This window comes from Homo sapiens, chromosome 11 (genome assembly GCF_000001405.40).
Source record: "Homo sapiens chromosome 11, GRCh38.p14 Primary Assembly".
NCBI classification, from domain to species: domain Eukaryota; kingdom Metazoa; phylum Chordata; class Mammalia; order Primates; family Hominidae; genus Homo; species Homo sapiens.
The window spans coordinates 46,410,732-46,430,368 of NC_000011.10; the positions used below are offsets into that span (position 1 = coordinate 46,410,732).

The 19,637-nt window shown below is 45.9% G+C and overlaps 1 protein-coding gene and 1 pseudogene across 10 annotated transcripts in view, besides 1 other annotated feature; both read right to left on the bottom strand.

Annotated features, from left to right (window-relative positions):
- The window catches only part of AMBRA1 (autophagy and beclin 1 regulator 1), a 197,612-nt gene that overhangs the window by 14,320 nt on the left and 163,655 nt on the right, over positions 1-19,637 (bottom strand). For 9 of the 10 annotated variants that reach the window (NM_017749.3, NM_001367470.1, NM_001367469.1 and 6 more), the window contains one exon: positions 7,182-7,321. In NM_017749.3, coding sequence (NP_060219.2) covers positions 7,182-7,321 — 140 coding nt within the window. Of the gene's footprint in view, positions 1-3,368; positions 3,562-7,181; positions 7,322-19,637 lie in introns of all 10 variants that reach the window. The other variant, NR_160027.1, reaches the window with a different exon arrangement.
- Positions 16,633-17,224: an enhancer, noted in NCBI's record as "OCT4-NANOG hESC enhancer chr11:46448914-46449505 (GRCh37/hg19 assembly coordinates)". NCBI's record gives its function as "activates a minimal SCP1, AML or CMV promoter by ChIP-STARR-seq in primed H9 embryonic stem cells {active_cell/tissue: H9 hESC(primed)}" and the evidence as "EXISTENCE:reporter gene assay evidence [ECO:0000049][PMID:30033119]".
- On the bottom strand, positions 17,870-18,650 carry RPS10P19 (ribosomal protein S10 pseudogene 19; annotated as a pseudogene).

Sequence of the window (19,637 nt, forward strand, 5' to 3'; positions counted from 1 at the left end):
GAGGCTGGAGTGAGGCCCACTGGAGAGATACAGAGCCATGGACAGCCCTGCCCAATGGGCATGCCTAGTCTTGAAAAGCAGAGGCCTTGGCCAGGCGCCAGTGGCTCACGCCTGTAATCCCAGCACTTTGGGAGGCCGAGGCGGGCAGATCACAAGGTCACAAGATCAAGACCATCCTGGCCAACATTGTGAAACCCTGTCTCTACTAAAAATACAAAAATTAGCTGGCCGTGGTGGCACATGCCTGTAGTCCCAGCTACTCAGGAGACTGAGGCAGGAGAATCACTTGAACCAGGAGACAGAGGTTGCAGTGAGCTGAGATCGCGCCACTGTACTCCAGCCTGGGTGACAGTGCAAGACTCTGTCTCAAAAAAAAAAAAAAAGAAAAAAAAAAAAAAGAAAAGCAGAGGCCTCAGAAAACAAAGACAGTGCAGGCTCTCGCCCCTGGGGCGGCCTGAGCGGAGGAAGACAAACTTCACCAAAAGTCAGCTATTTAACCTAGAGGCCTAGGTCACCCTCCTTTAACAACAGAAGTTACCTCCATAAAGAGCAAACATCCCCAAGTGAGTGTATTATAGGATGCTGGGAGGTGCTTCCTTCCTAAACATGGGTGTTGGCTAGGACAGAGACCAGGCAGGGCCTGGAAGACGAGGGACTGTGTCCCAGGAGGTCCCAGGAGGTCCCAGGAGGCTGTGCTGCCTCAGGTAAAAGGCAACAAAACCAGGCACTGAGCCTCCAAATCTGCCTTTTTTTCTGAGATGGAGTCTCACTCTGATGCCCAGGCTGGAGTGCAGTGGCATGATCTCAGCTCATTGCAACCTCTGCCTCCTGGGTTCAAGCAATTCTCCTGCCTCAGCCTCCTGAGCAGCTGAGATTGCAGATGTGTGCCACCACGCCCGGCTAATTTTTGTATTTTTAGTAGAGATGGGGTTTCACCATGTTGGCCAGGCTGGTCTCGAACTCCTGACCTCAAGTGATCTGCCCACCTTGGCCTCCCAAAGTGCTAGGATTACAGGCATGAACCACTGCGCCCAGCCCAAATCTGTCTTTTTAATTTTTTTTTTATTTTTTATTGTTTGAGGTGGGGTCTCACTATGTTGCCCAGACTGGTCTTGAACTCCTGGGCTCAAATGATCTTCCCACCTCGGCCTCCCAAAGTGTTGGGATTACAGGCGTGAGCCACCATGCCCGGCCCAAATCTGTCTTTTAGAGGGTAACTATGATTAGGCTTCACCTGAGGGAATACTACTTGCTTCTTTGAAGGGAAAGAGCCACAGCCAAACAAAAGTGCTCTTCTTTTCACTGCGCTGTAGTAAACCTCTCCCAGCTCCTTTTAAGGGGCCTGTCAGGCTGTGGAGTTGGTGTAATTCCAAAGGCCACCTCTTTAAAAAGCAGTACAGTTGTCCCTTGGTATCTTTGGGGAATTGGTTCCAAGACCCCCTGTGGATACCAAAATCTATGGTTGCTCAAGTCCCTAATACACAAACTATCCATATCCTTTTGTATACTTAAAATCATCTCTAGATTACTTGCACTAATACAATGTAAATTATGCAAATAGTTATTATACTGTATTGCATCTCACTCTGTTGCCCAGTCTGAAGTGCAGTGGTGTGATCACGGCTCACTACAGCCCTGACTTCCCTGGGCTCAGGTGATTCTCCTACCTCAGCCTCCCGAGTAGCTGGTACTACAGGCGTGCCTCACCACGCCTGGCTAATTTTTTTTGTTTTTTGTTTTGTAGAGACAGGGTTTCACCATGTTGCCTAAGCTGGTCTCAAATTTCTGGGCTAAAAAATCTGCCTACCTCAGCCTCCCAAAGTACTGGGATTATAGGTGTGAACCACCGTTCCCAGACTAATTGTATTGTTAATTTTCACTGTTTTTTTTTCCCCAAAATGTTTTTGATTTATGGTTTGTTGACTCCATGAATGTGGAACCTGCAGATACCAAGGGCCAACTGTTTATCCTTCCTCTTCTAAACAGCCATTTTTGTGGGGTTTGGGGATTGTCTGAGAACCAGATGGGCATTGGAGGGCAAAGATGAGAAAAGGCTACCTTACATTATGCAAGAGGTAAATGGCCAGAAGTAACAGCAGAGGCCTCCAAAAACAAACTCATCTCTGTTTTTGGTGAGCAAATCCTGTCTGTGTTAGATACTATGTGAAGCTGGCTGCCAGGAAGACTGATTTACAAACTTGTCAAGATGTATTGACAGGTTGCAATACCACATGGGTCCCTGCCAAATCCCTCTTCTGGAATTCTTGCTAGCCAGGGCTGGTTAGTGACAACAAACTGTTCACATCAGACCTACAACAAACCATGTACTTCCTGACCCGGAACCTTCCTTCCTACCTCAGAAAAGAGGCCACAAGAAGGCCTTCTGTCTGAGCTGGGACTGTCAGCATAATGCTGGTGGCCAAAAGGTCCCCTCGAATGCTTTCCATCCAGGCAGCAGCATGGAGCATCATCGGCTCAGGGCTGTGACCTTGGCTACTGACTGAAGAGGTCCACTGCCAACAGAACAGGGGCCGTACTTCCTGTCTCAGATGTGTTGCTCCACTATGCCTCCCCATCCCAATCCTTTCTGCTCCCCACAAACAGGTCTAATTCTAAGCCTGGATTTGCTTTACTTTCTGTGGTCAGAGAGCTGGACTACAATGAGCTCATGGATTTGGTTTCAATTCCAGACACTGTACCAAGGAATAGAGTTGAAGACACCCTCTCTGGCTACTGAAACTCTTAGCTTTCTTTCTTTCTTTCTCTATTTTTTTCTGAGATGGAGTTTCATTCTTGTTGCCCAGGCTGGAGTGCAATGGTGTGATCTCGGCTCACTGCAACCTCAGCCTCCCAGATTCGAGTGATTTTCCTGCCTCAGCCTCCCGAGTAGCTGGGATTACAGGTGTGTGCCACCATGCCTGGCTAATTTTTGTATTTTCAGTAGAGACAGTGTTTCGCCATGTTGGCCAGGCTGGTCTCGAACTCCTGACCTCAGGTGATCTGCCTGCCTCAGCCTCCCAAAGTGCTGGGATTACAGGCATGAGCCACCATGCCCGGCCTGAAACTCTTAGCTTTCAATACCCAGTGTCACTGACTGTCTGTGAGCTAAAGAATGATCCCAACATGTCCTGGTGTCTTCTTGGGTCTCAGTGAGGGTGAATGAGTCACTGTTTGCTCTGGGTTCTTCCTGGGAACTACACAAATACACCAAGGGAGGAGGAAGGCTAGGAGGTCCAATCAGGGCCAGCCTTTTCCAGTGGGCTTCCACCTCACACCTGGCTTCCTCCACAGCATCTGGAAGCTGTGCTTCTGGGCCTGGCTCAACAACTTCCCCATGCTGAGACCTTCCAAGGGCTCCCTGAACAGACCTGAGCTCCCTCAGTGTCACGATGCTCTCTTCACAGAACTTCTGGCTCTGAACTTCCCAACTTCTTGGGACCATTCCCTTGGATAACATTCTTCTTTCATTTATCAGTGACACGACGGGAGAGGATCAGACCAAAGATGCCTGGTGTCTCTGCAGCGCGGGAAAGAGCCAGCACCTGGCTCTTAGAGCCTCGCCTGAAAGATGTGGTTTCCGTGGCAATTTTGGCTCCCTTTTGATTCGGAGGCATGCTTTCCCCTCCCTGGGTGATGATACTTGACTATAATTACCATGATTACAGAAGGGACAGAGCTGGGGCCTTGTCAGGAGCCCCACAGTTGGCCAATGGGCCAGATGCCCCATAGTCTCAGCCCACCTCTCTTCTGCCATGAGTCCCCTGATTCTGTCCTTTGAGCTGACTCTGAGAGGCAGTGGGCTTCCCGCCAGCACCTCCCCCTATCACATTTGTAGGGCTGGTTTATGAGGCCGGAAGTAAGCAAGCACCCCCTCATATCAACCTGGCACTTCACACCCCCCATGGTTATCAGTGGGGGTGCTGGCTGGCTGGCAGGCAGCCAGAGGCACAGCAGCAGCTTGGGCAGAGTGCAGGTGGGGGAGCAGAGGAGGAGGGAGCGCCTCAGTGCCAGGAAGGGCGGGATGACTGCGCTATCAGCCCCTGGGATGGCTTTGTAGAGGGGCTGACTGGCCAGTTGTTTGTCTTCTTGCCTGTCCTAAGAATTCCTTCCCCTGGAGAGATGGAGGATTTTTGAAGGCCTTAGTCTACTGCCAAGTGGGTTTTAGTACCACCAAGAGATGCCCAAGGAGCTTGTTCCTCTGTCTTTGTGCTTGGAGAGACTGCTGAGGCAAAGACAATGGAGGAGAAATCAAGAGCAGTATTGAGAGCACAAAATGGGGTGCAGCTGCCTGTGCCTGGGACAAAGGCAGACAGCCACCTGTTTCGGAGGGAGGGCTGCAATCTTGGCCCAGCTGGCTGGCTGGATCCTGTGCCCTTGGGAATGGGTGTGCCAGGGAGCTGTATCACCCAGGGATAGGCAGCTGCCTATGAGACACACAAGAACCCTGAGCTCCTACTTCCCTATTTGTTCTCCTCATTTGAGACTGGAGACCACTCATCTGTAGACCGCTCAAAAGACATGAATGCGCTCACTGATCCTCTCTCATTTCCACCTGCATCCATGCCTGACCTGCTGAAATGTCTCAACACAATCTAAAGCTGCATTCTTTACCTGAGGTCTTAAAGAGTTACAAAAGTATGTGTGTGTTATTGTGGCATATTTTTCTGTGGAAGACTGTACATTGCTTTCGTCAGAATTTTAAAGGGGTTTTTGAGTGAAAAGCGCTCTGGATAGTAAAGTGAGGAATTCTAGTTCTGTCATCTGTTAGGAGGCCTCAGAGGAGTCTTAACTTCCTTAGGTGTATATTGCTCACACACAGTCTTCCTTGCCTAAGCTTTGAAGAACTTAAGTCATGTCCATGTCCAATTTATATGGTACCCTTACATTTTGGGCCCTAAGGCTTGAGGCATTTGCCAACCTGACCCAAGAAGTCAGGAGAAACAGCAACCAAAAAAGATGGGCTAAACTAGTTTTCTTAGTCCAACACAACTTGGTCTGTGACAGGACACTGTTCAATGTGTCCAGTGCTAATGCCATCTTACTCAGGGAAGAGGCTTGAGTTCCTGGTGGGTAAGAGAGTTCCCCAGGCAGCCCAAGATGGCTTAGGCCAGCTGAGACTCTGGGATGCTGGAGCAACATATGGGGAGAAAAGAGAAAACAGAAGCCAAAGTCAGTTTCATGTTTGGCTGAGGTGACTGTGACTGACACAAAGTAGGCAGGCTGGGGTTTCAGACATAAAAACCTTTATGAGGCCACAACAAACTGGGTGTAGATTATTTTTGCAAGGGAGAGGACTAGAAATTTGGCTGGGACAAAAGTTAGTGGTGGAAGCCATAGACAAAACAACACTGCTGAGGAAAGAGGTCTTGGAGAAACAGGGAAAGAAAGGCCTGTAACTGAAGTGTAAGTAAGAGTAGAATCATAGTCCAGAATTCTGTGCCAGTTTTGGAAAAGATGCTTATTAGATTTCTCTTATGAACTGTTAAGAAAAGAGATAAGACAATCAGCATCATGTGCTTTGGGGAAAAGGAGTATTTCAGGACAGATCCTGGGACTAGGGACAGGCCAGAAGAAGGGCAGAAACTGAGAGACCCAAGGAGATAATGAAAATGCTCTCTGGATGCTCCAGAGATGGTGAAAGATGGTCTCTGGAGCAAGTGGCTTGCAACACAAAACATTCTTGCAGCTCCAAGAGCAGCCTGAGCAGGCTAGGCTTAGACAGTAGTCTGTCTTTGGGAGGAGCTCAAAAAATTCAAAATGGAATGCAAGAGCTGCCCTAAGAACCAGTTTTCCTTTCTCCTAGGCCACTGACCTAATTCAGCCGATAAGGACTCAATCAGCACTTCCCTACCAGGCCACATGAGCTGACCCAAATACATCCTTTAGGAGAAACTATCAAGGATCCCATCAAAAGGCAACACGGACACTTCCGATAACCAGAGACCCTGTTGGAACTGTCACACCACACTCTGTGATCTGCAGAACACTCTGGGAAAAGACTCTGCACCAAGTGGAGGTCAACATGAGGACAGCCTGGAGGCAGAAGTGGCATTTAGTCGGCTGGAACCTTGCAGCGTCCCACGCAGCAATCAACCTGATCGGCAGTGAGGCAGAGCTTCACACTCTCCACCTGGCTGAGGCTGGAAACTGATGACAGACCTGGCTGACTCCCAGCGTCTCTAATGAATGGATGCCTGGAGAAACTCTGACCTCCATAAAGCCAGAGGAAGGGGAAGGGGTGTCATCAGGACTTCAGACACAAATCCCCTCCTACTCCCTACTTCAAGACCAGATAATAATTGCTTTGACTGTAAATTGAGCTTTTCTTTTTTTTTTTTTGAGACAGAGTCTCACTCTGTCGCTAGGTTGGCGTGCAATGGCATGATGTCAGCTCACTGCAACCTCTGCCTCTCAGGTTCAAGCGATTCCCCTGCCTCAGCCTCCTGAGTAGCTGGGACTACAGGCACGTGCCACTATGCCCGGCTAATTTTTTGTATTTTAGTAGAGACGGGGTTTTACCACGTTGACCAGGATGGTCTCAATCTCCTGACCTCGTGATCCGCCTGCCTCAGCTTCTCAAAGTGCTGGGATTACAGGCATGAGCCACTGTGCCCAGCCCCAAATTGAGCTTTTCAATCTGCTTTCACTAGTATAAGCTAGAGCTCCAAGCAGAAAGGAAAACAAGCAAGACAGAATTGTTGTTAGAGATCAGTTAGAGATCGGCTATTAGAGATCAGTGGCTTAACAAATTAGGGTTTCAACAATACCTATTTCCAATTCTTTTTAAGTTAAAGTCTACGGTATTTACTCAAACCCAAGACCACCTGTTGAATTTTTCTAGCAGGGTTTAAAAAAGAATCTTTGATATCTATGCTTTTGACTGCAGGGAAACTTTAGTATCACTAGGAAACCAGAGAACAAGGGAAAACAAAGAAAAAAAAATACTGCCTTTAGATTCAAGAAAACATGATCACTAAATCAGTCTCTGGATGAAATGTGAAATGGGGAGCTAATCCTACCAGCCCCTGTGGGAAGAGGGCCCTTTAAGGAGTGGCGCTGAGAATGAGGCAGGCTCTAGATGGATTGACATTTCCCTTCTAAAAGACCCCAGTTGGTGAATACTGATTACCCCAGTCCTCGGCCCCAGTGATCCCTCAACCCCCACACTTTAAGCCACTTACTCTGGTCGGCAGATCACCAGGTCTCCTTTGTTAGTACCATAGGCCAAGCCAAGCCCTGGCTCAGGCAGCCAACGGGCAGAGTTGATACTGACATGTCTCCGCTGGTCGGCAGGCATGGGATAAAGGACGTTGAAAACTCTCTAGGTAGAGGAAAAGAGGGAAAAAAAGAGAATGGGAGGAGAAACAATTTGTTACCAAGAATAACAAAATCCAGGGAGAAACAAATTAGAAGGAGGAAAGGAGGTGGTTAGGCTGGGAACAGGATGACTCTTTTTTTTTCTTTTTTTTCTATATCTATCTATCTATTTTATTATTTATATATAAATATATATAATATATATTTTATTATTTATATATAATATGTTTTATTATTTATATATAAATATATAATATATATTTTATTATTTATATATAAATATGTATTTTATTATTTATATAAATATATATTTTATTATTTATATATAAATATATATATTTATTATATATTATATATATTTTATTATTATACTTTAAGTTCTAGGGTACATGTGCACAACGTGCAGGTTTGTTACATATGTATACACGTGCCACGTTGGTGTGCTGCACCCATTAACTCGTCAGTCACATTAGGTATATCTTCTAATGCTATCCCTCCCCACTCCCCCTACCCCACAACAGGCCCCGGTGTGTGATGTTCTCCTTCCTGTGTCCAAGTGTTCTCATTGTTCAGTTCCCACCTATGAGTGAGAACATGCGGTGTTTGGTTTTCGAACAGGATGACTCTTAACTCATGCCTGAGAACTTGGGGCAGCAGGAGAGATGGGATTCTCTTAGTTTTGGGGAGAGCTAGGTCTCTTTTAAGAAATACTAGGGGACTCTATGGCTCTAATAATGCGCTCTCCTTAGAGCCTTTTAGCTAACTAACTTCATTGCTTTTAAATTAACTCCCTGGAAAGCCCCATAAAGCCCACCATACCAGGACGGACTGCCCATAACTTTCCTCTGACCAGGCCAACCAGTGAGCATCAGCCTTGGCTGGTAGTCCTGTTACCATGGTAACCACAGTGCTCTCACAGCAATGGGGAATTGGAGGTGATAGGGGGGCGGGAGGGGGTGATAACATCAGAGAACATTCTTAATTCATCTAATTAAAAGCAATGTTAAAACTGCTATTGTTAAGGAAACCTAAAAGGTGCATTAAGATGGAGGGAGCGGAGCAGAGGGGAATCGTGAACATTCAGGCACACAACTTGTTTCTAGCTTATATAAATCACCGTTAAATTGATTGTTTCTCTTTTTCCAAGCTAATATTTTCTGAGCGGCATATTTTCTAAGTATGTAGGGTTTGGGCTGAAGGTAAACTATGGCCTCACAGTCTCTTTCACCACTCTCTGATATGTTTTAGAAGCAACTTAATCAGAGATAGGGGCAGGTCAGTGGAAGAATAAAAGACATGGGCTTTAGAGTTAATAAGACTTGGGTTCGAGTCCTGATGCCACTACAAAACAATATCTCTAGATCTCAACTTAGAACAAACACATACATTCAAATAATTTGGGAGATTAAAAGAGATGATGTATAAAATGCCTGCCATGGTGCAAGCTCCTAAATAGTAACTGCTATTATTGCAACCAGGAACCTGTATCTCAGTCTCTTCACAAATGATCATCAGGGCCTATGAAAACGACAGGAAGCTGAAACTCTATAAACTGGAGTTTATTTCCCTTCTTGCTTCCCCAGTTTTTAATTTATCAAATATGAACTTCATTTCATCTGCCTTTACCTGCCCCCAGGGTTGATAGAAGGGGAAAAAAAGAGAAAACAAATGAGCATGTGGTTTAGACAGTAATATTCATAAAATGAACTTAGAGTGGTACAATTATAATTATTTTTCTGACTATCCTGATGAGGGATGAAGGTGGGGAGGGAGGAAGGCAGGGAGGGATGATTGAGTCTGAACTAAGGGTCCACTCCATTTATGCAAACCAAGTGATAAGCAGCCCTGGATCTGAGAACACATGTTCATGTGCCTTGGGTACGTATCTGAAAGGCCTCTGACAGGACAGCCTCCAGAATGGAAAAGACAGCAGCACGTGTCCTCAATACACACACACACACACACACACACACTCTTCCAGGTGTTGTGGTGCTGAGAAATGTGCCCAGGTAGCTAAATGGTACTCTTCCAGAATGGCCTAGCTATGGTCCTGAGGTCAAATGGGCCTTTTACAGACATGGAACTGGTTCAGGTTTGAGGCACGGCACTGACTGCCCTGTGGCAGCTGCATTAGGAACCTCCTACACCCTTCCTGTAGGACTCAACTCCAAATGTAAGGAACTCGTTAAGGCTCCTTAAATCTTTGCTCTAACTGAGGAGACTATTAAAAAAGAAACCGATGAAGTTAATGAATTTCTCTCGTAGTTATCTGGAGTCTGGCTGCTTGGCCTTTGGATCATCTCCTCCTGGCTGGCAGGAGTCTCAAACAAATTCATGGCTGCTATTCTCACTCAGCCTCACTGTCTGAACGGGCACAGATATGGTAATACCACTCTTTCTCCTTTGCACCTAATCAATATTTTGCCTTTAAATCAAGCAATGAGGTGTGGCACCTTTATTCTTTCTCATGGAGGTTTTCACCTTCTCAGAAGATAACCAATGGTTTCTGTCCAACCTATAGACTTTATGGTTAAACACAACTTGCCATTTAACTTTTAACACTAAAAGGACAATGTGGGTGTGATGAGACAATTGTGGCTGGGATCACTTAATCTGTTTAGTTTTCCTTCTCCAAAGGTCAGATGGTGTGAGCAGAGCACACCCAGAGTTAAGGAGGGATGAGGGTTAACCTCAATGGGTGCATGAGGGGAGCACCTTGGTTTTGAGCCTGTGGTAGCTCTACATGGGCCTCACAACAAAGTCTCCCCTGAAACTACAATGATTTATAATTGTAGGGAATGGGGCAAAAGGGCCAGAGAAAGTAGCCTTACGAGGAGAATAATAAGACTTTAGTAATCAGATGCTTAAGTTGCTGTGCTGCGTTTTTTAAATGGGGGTCTGAAACAAAAGAATAAAAGACCTCTTTCCTAGAAATGTTCCAGACCAGAAAGTAACAAAACAAGCCTCTGTCACAAATTTACCTTTTATCATTTGTTGCTGTACAGGGATTAACAGGCAAATATTATCTATTTGCTTCTTAGTATAGGAACTTCCTTTGGGGACAAAACCCTCAAGACGCCAATATGATAGATGAACCCAGCTTAGGTGAGACAAGGTCACAGAGGGATTGGAGAGAAGTAATGAAATGTTGAGACCCCCGGGTTGTTGCTAGCCACTTCCCAACTTCTGCAGTGGCAAGAGTCATGGGGGCATCAATCTGTCCTCCAGCTATGGCACTCCCTCATGCTCGAGTCCTTAAACAGTGCCGAAAGGGCAGTTCTCAAGTGCACATCTCTTCCCATGTTTGGGTATTAGGCTAAATCCTGCTTTGTGGCAGGAAGCCAGAAAATGCCGCACAAAGATCAGCAGCCTCCTGGATCCTGATAAGCACTTGCTTGCTTAGCACACTCTAGTGCGGTGTGGGAAGGAGGGAGATGAGGGCATGGAGGGTGCAGAATGGGAGGTTAATCACTGATCCATAGGCTGAGAGGTCATCTGGTCCAATCATCCTGATTTCACACATGCCTGAAACCAATGGACACTTGAACAATGAGAATCTGGCCCATTTTGAAAAGCACCCAGAGATGTAGTGTCTACCCCTTTCCCGGGCCAAAGCTGAACAGCTCTCAGTCCACCTCACTGAAGGGAAATACCTCTCACAATTAGCCCTACAGATGAGAGACTATCTGGACAAGTTTCTCAGTACTGACAGATGGTTACGTAGCTCTGCTAATCCCAAACCATTTACGGTTTTGGTCATCAGTCTTTCTAACCCAGAGACTGGGTGAGTTGTGAGTCCCCTTTTAGATTTCCACGGGGACTGGCTCTGTAAACCCAAAGGTCATCAGTACTGACAAAGACAGTATAAGAGATGGCTCTGGTCTTCATGTACAGACACCCTAAAAACATCTCAAGTAAAGGTTTCTTTAATACTAGTCATGTGCCCTGAAGCTCCCCATGGGATGTTCAGAACAAAGCTTGGGTGGCCTGCTGAACACCCACCCTGTCCCCCACTCTTCTCTCTGACACAAGAGACATGCCGTGCAGCTACACCACCAAATTCTATTACACCGGACGTATTATCAGAACAGGGGACCCTCTGTGGGGCTGAATACAAAACCCAGCTGCTGATTCATGATTGACGAGTCCTGGTTTCACCTGTCTCCACTGCAGCTCTTCCCTGGTATATGACGAATGCTGACAGCAACCCCTCTTCCCAAAGTAGATTGTTCTCATTTCTGTCTAACATCTATGAAGGGAAATAGAATCAATATGCTAGAAAGAAGAAATTTCTTAGAGTTAGTGCAGTCTCAGCATGTTAATAGGGAATGAGTCTGGTTGCCAAGATCTTTGTGGTTCTAAGAGAGTAGAAGACAATGATTGCTCCACTTCTGGTGTCCAAGACAATCTCTTGTACCGCTTGCCTCTCTACCCCTCAAACTCTAATAGGAAGTGAGAGCAAAAGAAAACAGTTCTCAGATCAAAACTAAAAGTGTCTTGTTTCTTGTTCAAAGATAGACAGGAAAAGAATGAGAGGGAGCCAGGAGGTCAGCGGGAAACCTTCTTCTCCATCCTTTTAAAATGAAGAGGAAAAAGGTATTGCAGCCCTCAACAAGATGGTCGTATTTTTTTTCCCCTACTGCATGCCAATAAAACTCAGACGAGTAGTTCAAGCAGCAAACGGCACTGTTCAGATCAGCCCGGATAAGAAGCTAAAAGAAAAACTTTATGGTTATTTTGTTTACATTTGGGAATCTCATCATCTGTAAAGCTAAAACCTCGCAGTGGTGGCCAGAGGTCAAGTGCAGTTGGCAGATCTTCTTTAAGACAATGGAAGCTGGCTGGAGGAAGCGGACAACTGGAAACTGAGGCTAGAAGAGCTGTGGAAAAAGGTGCAAGGTGCAAAGCAAGGGGGCTTTGAGGAAGAAAGGAACTGTGAGGAGGAAAGATGCCTTCTGGGTAATGATGGGAATTAAGGAAGGCTTAAGGTTTTAGTGAGGGCTACTAGAAGAGAATCAACTGAGAAGAGGGAAAAATCAATAGAAAGCAGATGCTAAGAGACAGCTGACCTTTCCATTGGAAATGGATGGCTACATATCTTGTCACAGGCTGAGAAATGCACATATCCTAGAGTGGCAGTGGGAGAAATACCTTGGCCATCTTTTCTTCTTTTCCAGCTGTTGATCTGCTTAGATCAATGAATTATTGAGTTTCTTCGACCCTAGGAAAGCCTGATTGCTTTTTAAAAACTTTAATTTCTTTTACTGTCTCCAAACCTTTATATTCTATGTTGGAATTCAGAATTCACAAAATGTTGATGTAATTTTTATAATTTTTATTATTTTATTTTTTTTCTTTTTTGACATGGAGTCTCGCTCTGTCACCCAGGCTGGAGTGCAGTGGTGCGATCTTGGTTCACTGCAAGCTCCACCTCCTGGGTTCATGCCATTCTCCTGCCTCAGCCTCCTGAGTAGCTGGGACTACAGGCGCCTGCCACCACGCCCGGCTAGTTTTTTGTATTTTTAGTAGAGACGGGGTTTCACCGTATTAGCCAGGATGGTCTTGATCTCCTGACCTTGTGATCTGCCTGCCTCGGCCTCCCAAAGTGCTGGGATTACAGGCGTGAGCCACCGTGCCCGGCCAATTTTTATTATTTTTAAATTTTTACTGTTCTGACAGAGCAGGACTAACTCACAGGCAGTGCACCCATTTTTTTTTTTTTTTTTTTTTTTGAGATGGAGTTCCGCTCTTGCTGCCCAGGCTAGAGTGCAGTGGCACGATATCAGCTCACCACAATCTCTGCCTCCTGGGTTCAAGCGATTCTCCTGACTCAGCCTCCCGAGTAGCTGGGATTACAGGCATGGGCCACCACGCCTGGTTAATTTTGTATTTTTAGTAGAGATGGGGTATCTCCAAGTTGGCCAGGCTGGTCTCGAACTCCTAATCTCAGGTGATCCACCCGCCTCAGCCTCCCAAAGTGTTGGGATTACAGGCATGAGCCACCGTGCCCAGCCAGTGCACCCAATTTTTAAAGTGATTATTTAAAAACCCAAATCACAGCTTTGTTTGGAAATTTTTAAAAAATCAAAATAACAAGTCACCTAACTCTCCCCCTTTGAAGCAGGAACAAATCCCTAGATTGCACATATCCAAACCAAAGCTCTCTCCCAGCAGAAAAAAAGGGCAAACAGCAAACAGCCTTTTTTTTTTTTTAATTTGTTCAAATTTGTTGCCCTTTGTTACTATTGACAATGTGCTGCCTTCAAGGCATTTCTAGGCAACCTCCTATGATTTGCTGATTCCTACAAACTTTGTCTTATTCATTTGTTCCTGAAGGAGACCCCAAAGACAGTCAGAGGACAAGCTTTTTATTTTTCAATTGGCCCGCTGCTTTCCAAAGGCCACCCCTGGCCATTAGGATCAAAGCACAGAGATTACTTCAGCTGAGGAATCTACTTCTGTGCTAAAAGAAATACTGAGGCACTCACGGCTTCTGGAATTCCCAGAAATTATACTCGCTGGGCGTGATGGCTCCTGCCTGTAGTCCCAGCACTTTGGGTGGCCGAGATAGGAAGATCACCTGGCACCAGGAGTTCAAGACCAACCTAGCTGACATAGCAGGATCTGTGTGTCTCCAAATAAACAGCCAGGCATGGTGGCACATACCTCTAATCCTAGCTACTTGGGAGGCTGAGGTGGGAGGATTGCTTGAGCCCAGTTATTAAAATTTACAGTGGGCTATGATAGTGCCACTGTACTCCACCGTGGGTGAGATCCTGTGTCTTAAAAAAAATTTTAAACAAATAGGCCAGGTGTAGTGGCTCATGCCTGTAATCCCAGCACTTTGGGAGGCCGAGGTGGGTGAATCACGAGGTCAGGAGTTCAAGACCAGCCTGACCAAGATGGTGAAACCCCATCTCTACTAAAAATACAAAAATTAGCCAGGCTGGTGGCAGGTGCCTGTAATCCCAGCTACCTGGGAGGCTGAGGCAGGAGAATTGCTTGAACCCGGGCGGCAGAGGTTGCAGTTAGCCGAGATCACGCCACTGCACTCCAGCCTGGGCAACAGAGTGAAACTCTATCTCAAAAAATAAATAAATAGAAAGAAAGCAATTACTCTGGTTTCCACATCTCTGGGCACAGAGCACAACACAAGTTCTTGAACTTCTGTGTCTTTCTACATCTCAAAGGAAATGGTCTAATGAGTTCTAGAGATTCACCTTGGATAAGACAATGCTTCTGTATCTTTTGCTTGATCCATTTGTGTGTGTGTGTGTGTGTGTGTGTGTGTGTGTGTGTGTGTAAGAAGTAGTATTTCTCTGTTCAGGACAGGGATTATATTAAATACTTTCAGTTTTTACAAATATATGAATTGATTTTCCAATTCTTGAAAAAAAGGATGTTTTGCCTTTCACTTTTTAAACTATCTACTGGGAACCTCTCATCATGTCTCAGTGCTGGAACTAGAACCTGGAGAAACTCACTGATATCGGTTAGAACTGTGGAAATGAGGCTGGGCGCGGTAGCTCACGCCTGTAATCCCAGCACTTTGGGAGGCTGAGGCAGGTGGATCACGAGGTCAGGAGTTCGAGACCAGCCTGACCAACATGGTGAATCCCTGTCTCTACTAAAAATACAGAAATTAGCCGGGGTGGTGGCATGCACCTGTAATCCCAGCTACTCGGGAGGCTGAGGCAGGAAAATCACTTGAACGCAGAAGGCAGAGGTTGCAGTGAGCCGAGATCGTGCCACTGCACTCCAGCCTGTGCAACAAGAGCGAAACTCCGTCTCAAAAACAAAAAAAAAGAAAACAGCGGGCTGGGCGTGGTGTCTCACGCCTGTAATCCCAGCACTTTGGGAGGCTGCGGTGGGCAGATCACAAGGCCAGGAGATCAAGACCATTCTGGCTAACACGGTGAAACCCCGTCTCTACTAAAAATACAAAAAAATTAGCTGGGCGTGGTGGCGGGCTCCTGTAGTCCCAGCTACTCGGGAGGCTGAGGCGAGACTCCATCTCAAAATAAAAAAAAAAAAAAAAGAAAGAAAACATTGTGGAAATGAGTAAGATGCTCCCTATTTTCAGGATTATCTCATTACTACCTTGATTCAATTAGGGCGTACTGAGTAATGGGCTGTTACAGTGATAGTGGTGGTGAGCAGGGTGCACATGCGTGGACATGCAGAGAAACCCAGGGCACATGAGATTTCAAAGTAACACACACTTAGGAAGCAAACGTTGCATGCCTCCCGCAGCTAACTAAGCACAGTGAGGGCTGGGGAGATGGCAGTGAAAAGACCAGAAGAAGCCAGGCATTGCACATGGACGCACTACAGAGGAAGGGACTAGGTCCATTTTGTTCACTGCTGCATTCCTAGACCAATGACAGGGGCTCAATAAAGTTTTTTTGAGTGAAGAGAATAAAATGCAGCATAGACTGCACTCTACTAAGAGGCCACAGAGGAAAGACACTGTCAGAGTTGGTGAATCTGTCATGGAAAAATTTCCTAAATGAATGGCTCTGACTGCAGTTCTAGTGTTATTTTTAATTTTTATCTTGCCCCCCTCCCTTCTCTGACAAATCACACCAGAGACACCTCTTACTTCTCCTATACTTCTTCCCCCTTTTCCTACAATGTTCTGAAGAAAAGAACTTTTTGAGGATAGATGCTTTGTGCCACATCTCAGAAGTCAACTTTAAGATAATTGCAGCGGAAGCAGCTTTTAATCAACTGACAGGCAGCTTTAAGAAAATTAATGAGGACAAAATTTTAGGAAGGAGTAAATCATTTCTGACAACAAAGCCATCTGTCTTTTATCCCAATCTCCCCTTGAAGAAATAGTACCCTTCCAGGATACAAAAATAAAATATCATTATTTTTGGTATTTGCCACCCCCAAGTCCAGACAAGATTAAGAAAAGGCTCAGTTTCCTTAGATTTCTAGAGAATACTCTGGATTGAACTAGAATTCTAGGTCACTTTTGGAAATCAAATTTGCAGAATATAGGGAAGCACAGATGATTAGGACTATATTATAAGTTCAATTCAAGGGCAGGGAAGGAGAGAGTCATAATGAAGTTTGTAGATTGAAGAATAAAGCTGGGACAAGTCAAAAGAGCCTATATTTGTGAAGTTATATAAATTCTGGTCAGTGCTGACAGCACTGGGCACTCATCCTGACCCAGGATCTAAGCCACAACTATAGTTACCACTAATTTGAGAAGTCTGGATCCCAAGTTTTTTCTATGGTTCATTTTAATGAACTTGATCAGCAGCAGCAGCAGCAGCAGCCATCATTAGTCTCTGTAAGGATGGATACCCAACGGTATAAAAGAAAGCAAGCAATCTAATGTTTATTTTCAGAGATAGTAAGAGACAGAGCAAGAACAAAAGCGGAAAGGATCAAGATACATTGACAGGCAAGGTCTAGATGGAATCGCCCTACAGCCCATGGTTCGTTCTTAACTTAGCGCGCAGAGTCATCAGGAAGGCTTGTTAAAACACACATGGCTGGGCCTCGCCCCCAGAGTTTCTGACTCAGCAGATCTTAAGTGGGGCTGAGAATCTGCATTTCTAATAAGTTCCCTAGAGATGCTGATGTGGTCCCCTGGGGGCACACATTGAGAACTGCTGTGCAATCAGATTTGGGTGGGATGTAGGTCTATAAAAAATGGTAACAGGCCGGGAGCGCTGGCTCATGCCTGTAATCCCAGCACTTTGGGAGGCAGAGGTGGGCGGATCACCTGAGGTCAGGAGTTCGAGACCAGCCTGGTCAACATAGTGAAACCCTGTCTCTACTAAAAATACAAAAATTAGCCGGGAGTGGTGGCGAGTGCCTGTAGACCCAGCTAATCAGGAGGCTGAGGCAGGAGAATCACTTGAACCCAGGTGGCGGAGGTTGCAGTGAGCCAAGGTTGTGCCACTGCACTCCTGCCTGGGCGACAGAGGGAGACTCCATGTCAAAAAAAAAAAAAAAAAAAAAAAGTAACAAATATGCTTTCCTTCCCTGCTGCCTGGGACCTGTTTAGGGTGAGGGGGAGGCATATTGCTAGCGCTCTAGAGGGAGAAGGGGTATAAAGGGATAGACCACTACTGACCAGCAAAACTCTTAGGTCAAGAAAGGAAGAAAGAAGAAGGGGAATGGGGAGGGGAAGAAGAGGAGAGGGAGAGAGATGGATACTTTCTTTTCAATGTGTCCTACGAACTATTGATTTGTCTGGGTAACACTCACTCAACTCTTGGCTACGGTTTTACCACATGGCCACAAAGAAAAAGCTTTCAATAAAATTGACCCTTAGGTATTGGAGGCTTTCCCTTAAAGACCACAATACTGTTCCATGGAGAAGGGGGAGCAAAACTGCATTCTATCCCAGAGCTTCCTCCTCAACCCAAGTCAAATGAAGGTGTCCTTAGTCATCCCTTCTGCCAATAAAATGACCCGAGAGAAAAGCAAACTACGCCTGGTGAGATTCAAGTTCCTAGTGCCTCTAGGATCTGCAGCGATTAGGCAATGAGGATCTTTTCCACTTCTTCTTCTTCTTCTTCTTTTTTTTTTAAGGTTTTTTGGCTATAAGTTTATTCAATGCAAAAGAATCCTCTCCAATTTTACTGAGGTGGCTGACCACGTCCACGACCAAATCCGCCTCTAAACTGGAATTCGGTTGCTGACCCAGCCCCAGCCTCGGCTTTCTTGTCGGCACCAGGTGGCACAGCACTCCGTCTGTAGGTATCTCTGTCAGCTTCCCCTCTTGTGAGTCTCGCAGGTCGCTCACCCTCCAGACCTTTAGGCCGAGGCCTGCCAGTCTCTGGACGGCTACGGCGTAGGATGGCAGGCACAATCTCTGGGGGCAGATGAAGGTAATCACGGAGATACTGGATACCCTCATTGGTAAGGTACCAGTAGAAATGTCTCCAGGCAAACTGTTCCTTCACGTAGCCTCGGGACTTGAGAGACTGCATGGCCTTCATGACATGAAGGTTGGGCACATTCTTGTCTGCCAGCTCCGGGTGCTTAGGCATGTGGACATCCTTCTTGGCCACCATGACTCCCTCCTTAAAAAGGAGTTCATAAATGGCAATCCGGTTCTTCTTAGGCATCAACATCTGGCAGGTCTCCGCCACGCACTGGCTTCATCCTCCCCCTCTCCCTCGGACAATCTTCGCCTACCAGCGGCCCCCTACCCCATAAAATAAGCCTCCAGCCCCTATCGCTACTCAGAAATCGGTGTGTGGGGAGTGGGAGAGAGGCCCCCTGCCCGCATCCTGGGGAGGAGCAGCCGCTAAGGTGGCAGGATAGCCCGGATGGGAGCCGATGGAACTCGAACTCCACAGAAAAACCTTTTCCACTTCTTACTAAACCACTTATGTGCCTACAATCCCCACTTATTGGGAGGTGGGGGGGTGGTCCATGTTAATTCCAGTGTTGAAAGCACTAATCCTTATTCTTGCTTTCTAGCTCAAAATGCCCTAGCTTCGTCCTCATGTCCCTGAACCTCCCTGCCCAGTTGCAGGCTTCTGCCCCTATTCCTAAGTAACACAGCACTTACTGAGATACAAACTAAAGGAAGAATGTGGTATATGACTCTTTCTGGTTTCATCAGTAATTTTGTATTTTTGTTATTATGCTTTCACTTGGTTACAACCAAAGTTATTATACTGTGCAAGTTGCCACTATTTTAGAAAATTAATTGCAGTTCTCTGTTACAATACTGTGCCTGGTTCCAATTAGAAAATGAAAGCCGAGAGGGAACACAGGCAGTTTAGTGTTTTGAGAATTCAGCAAAACTTCAGCTCAGCAGTCTCTAAAAGCTTAACCTAAAAACAAAACAAAAATTAACAAAAAGCCCTCTCTGGCTCAAGCAGAAGGGAATCAGACAGAAAATAAGATTCTGAGTCATAGAGAGTAGCATATCCAGTCTGGAGGAATCGCAAATGGACAGTGGGAAGGGAGAGAGAAAATATGTGCCCAGTCTTACTTTCCTGACTTACCCATCATTAAAACTGGGAGGACTAGCACGATAAACAGAGAAGGGAAAGATCAAAAGGACCCTAGATCCTAGAAATAAGGACAAAAATTAAAATGATTCAACATAAAGAAAAGACTCCAGCACATACAGCTATTCAAGGGAGAAACCTGGAAAGCAGCAACAGCCTAGAAAAGATGGGAGGTGAGGCGCAGACAGCCAAAAAAGCTGAGTTTGGTAGGAAACAGAAGACAAACACCACTGTGCCTGCAACATAATTAGCAAAGAATCAAAGCACCATGCACAAAACCACAATGGCAAGTAGACCTGAGACTGACTCTGCCTTGCTGAGGAGGCT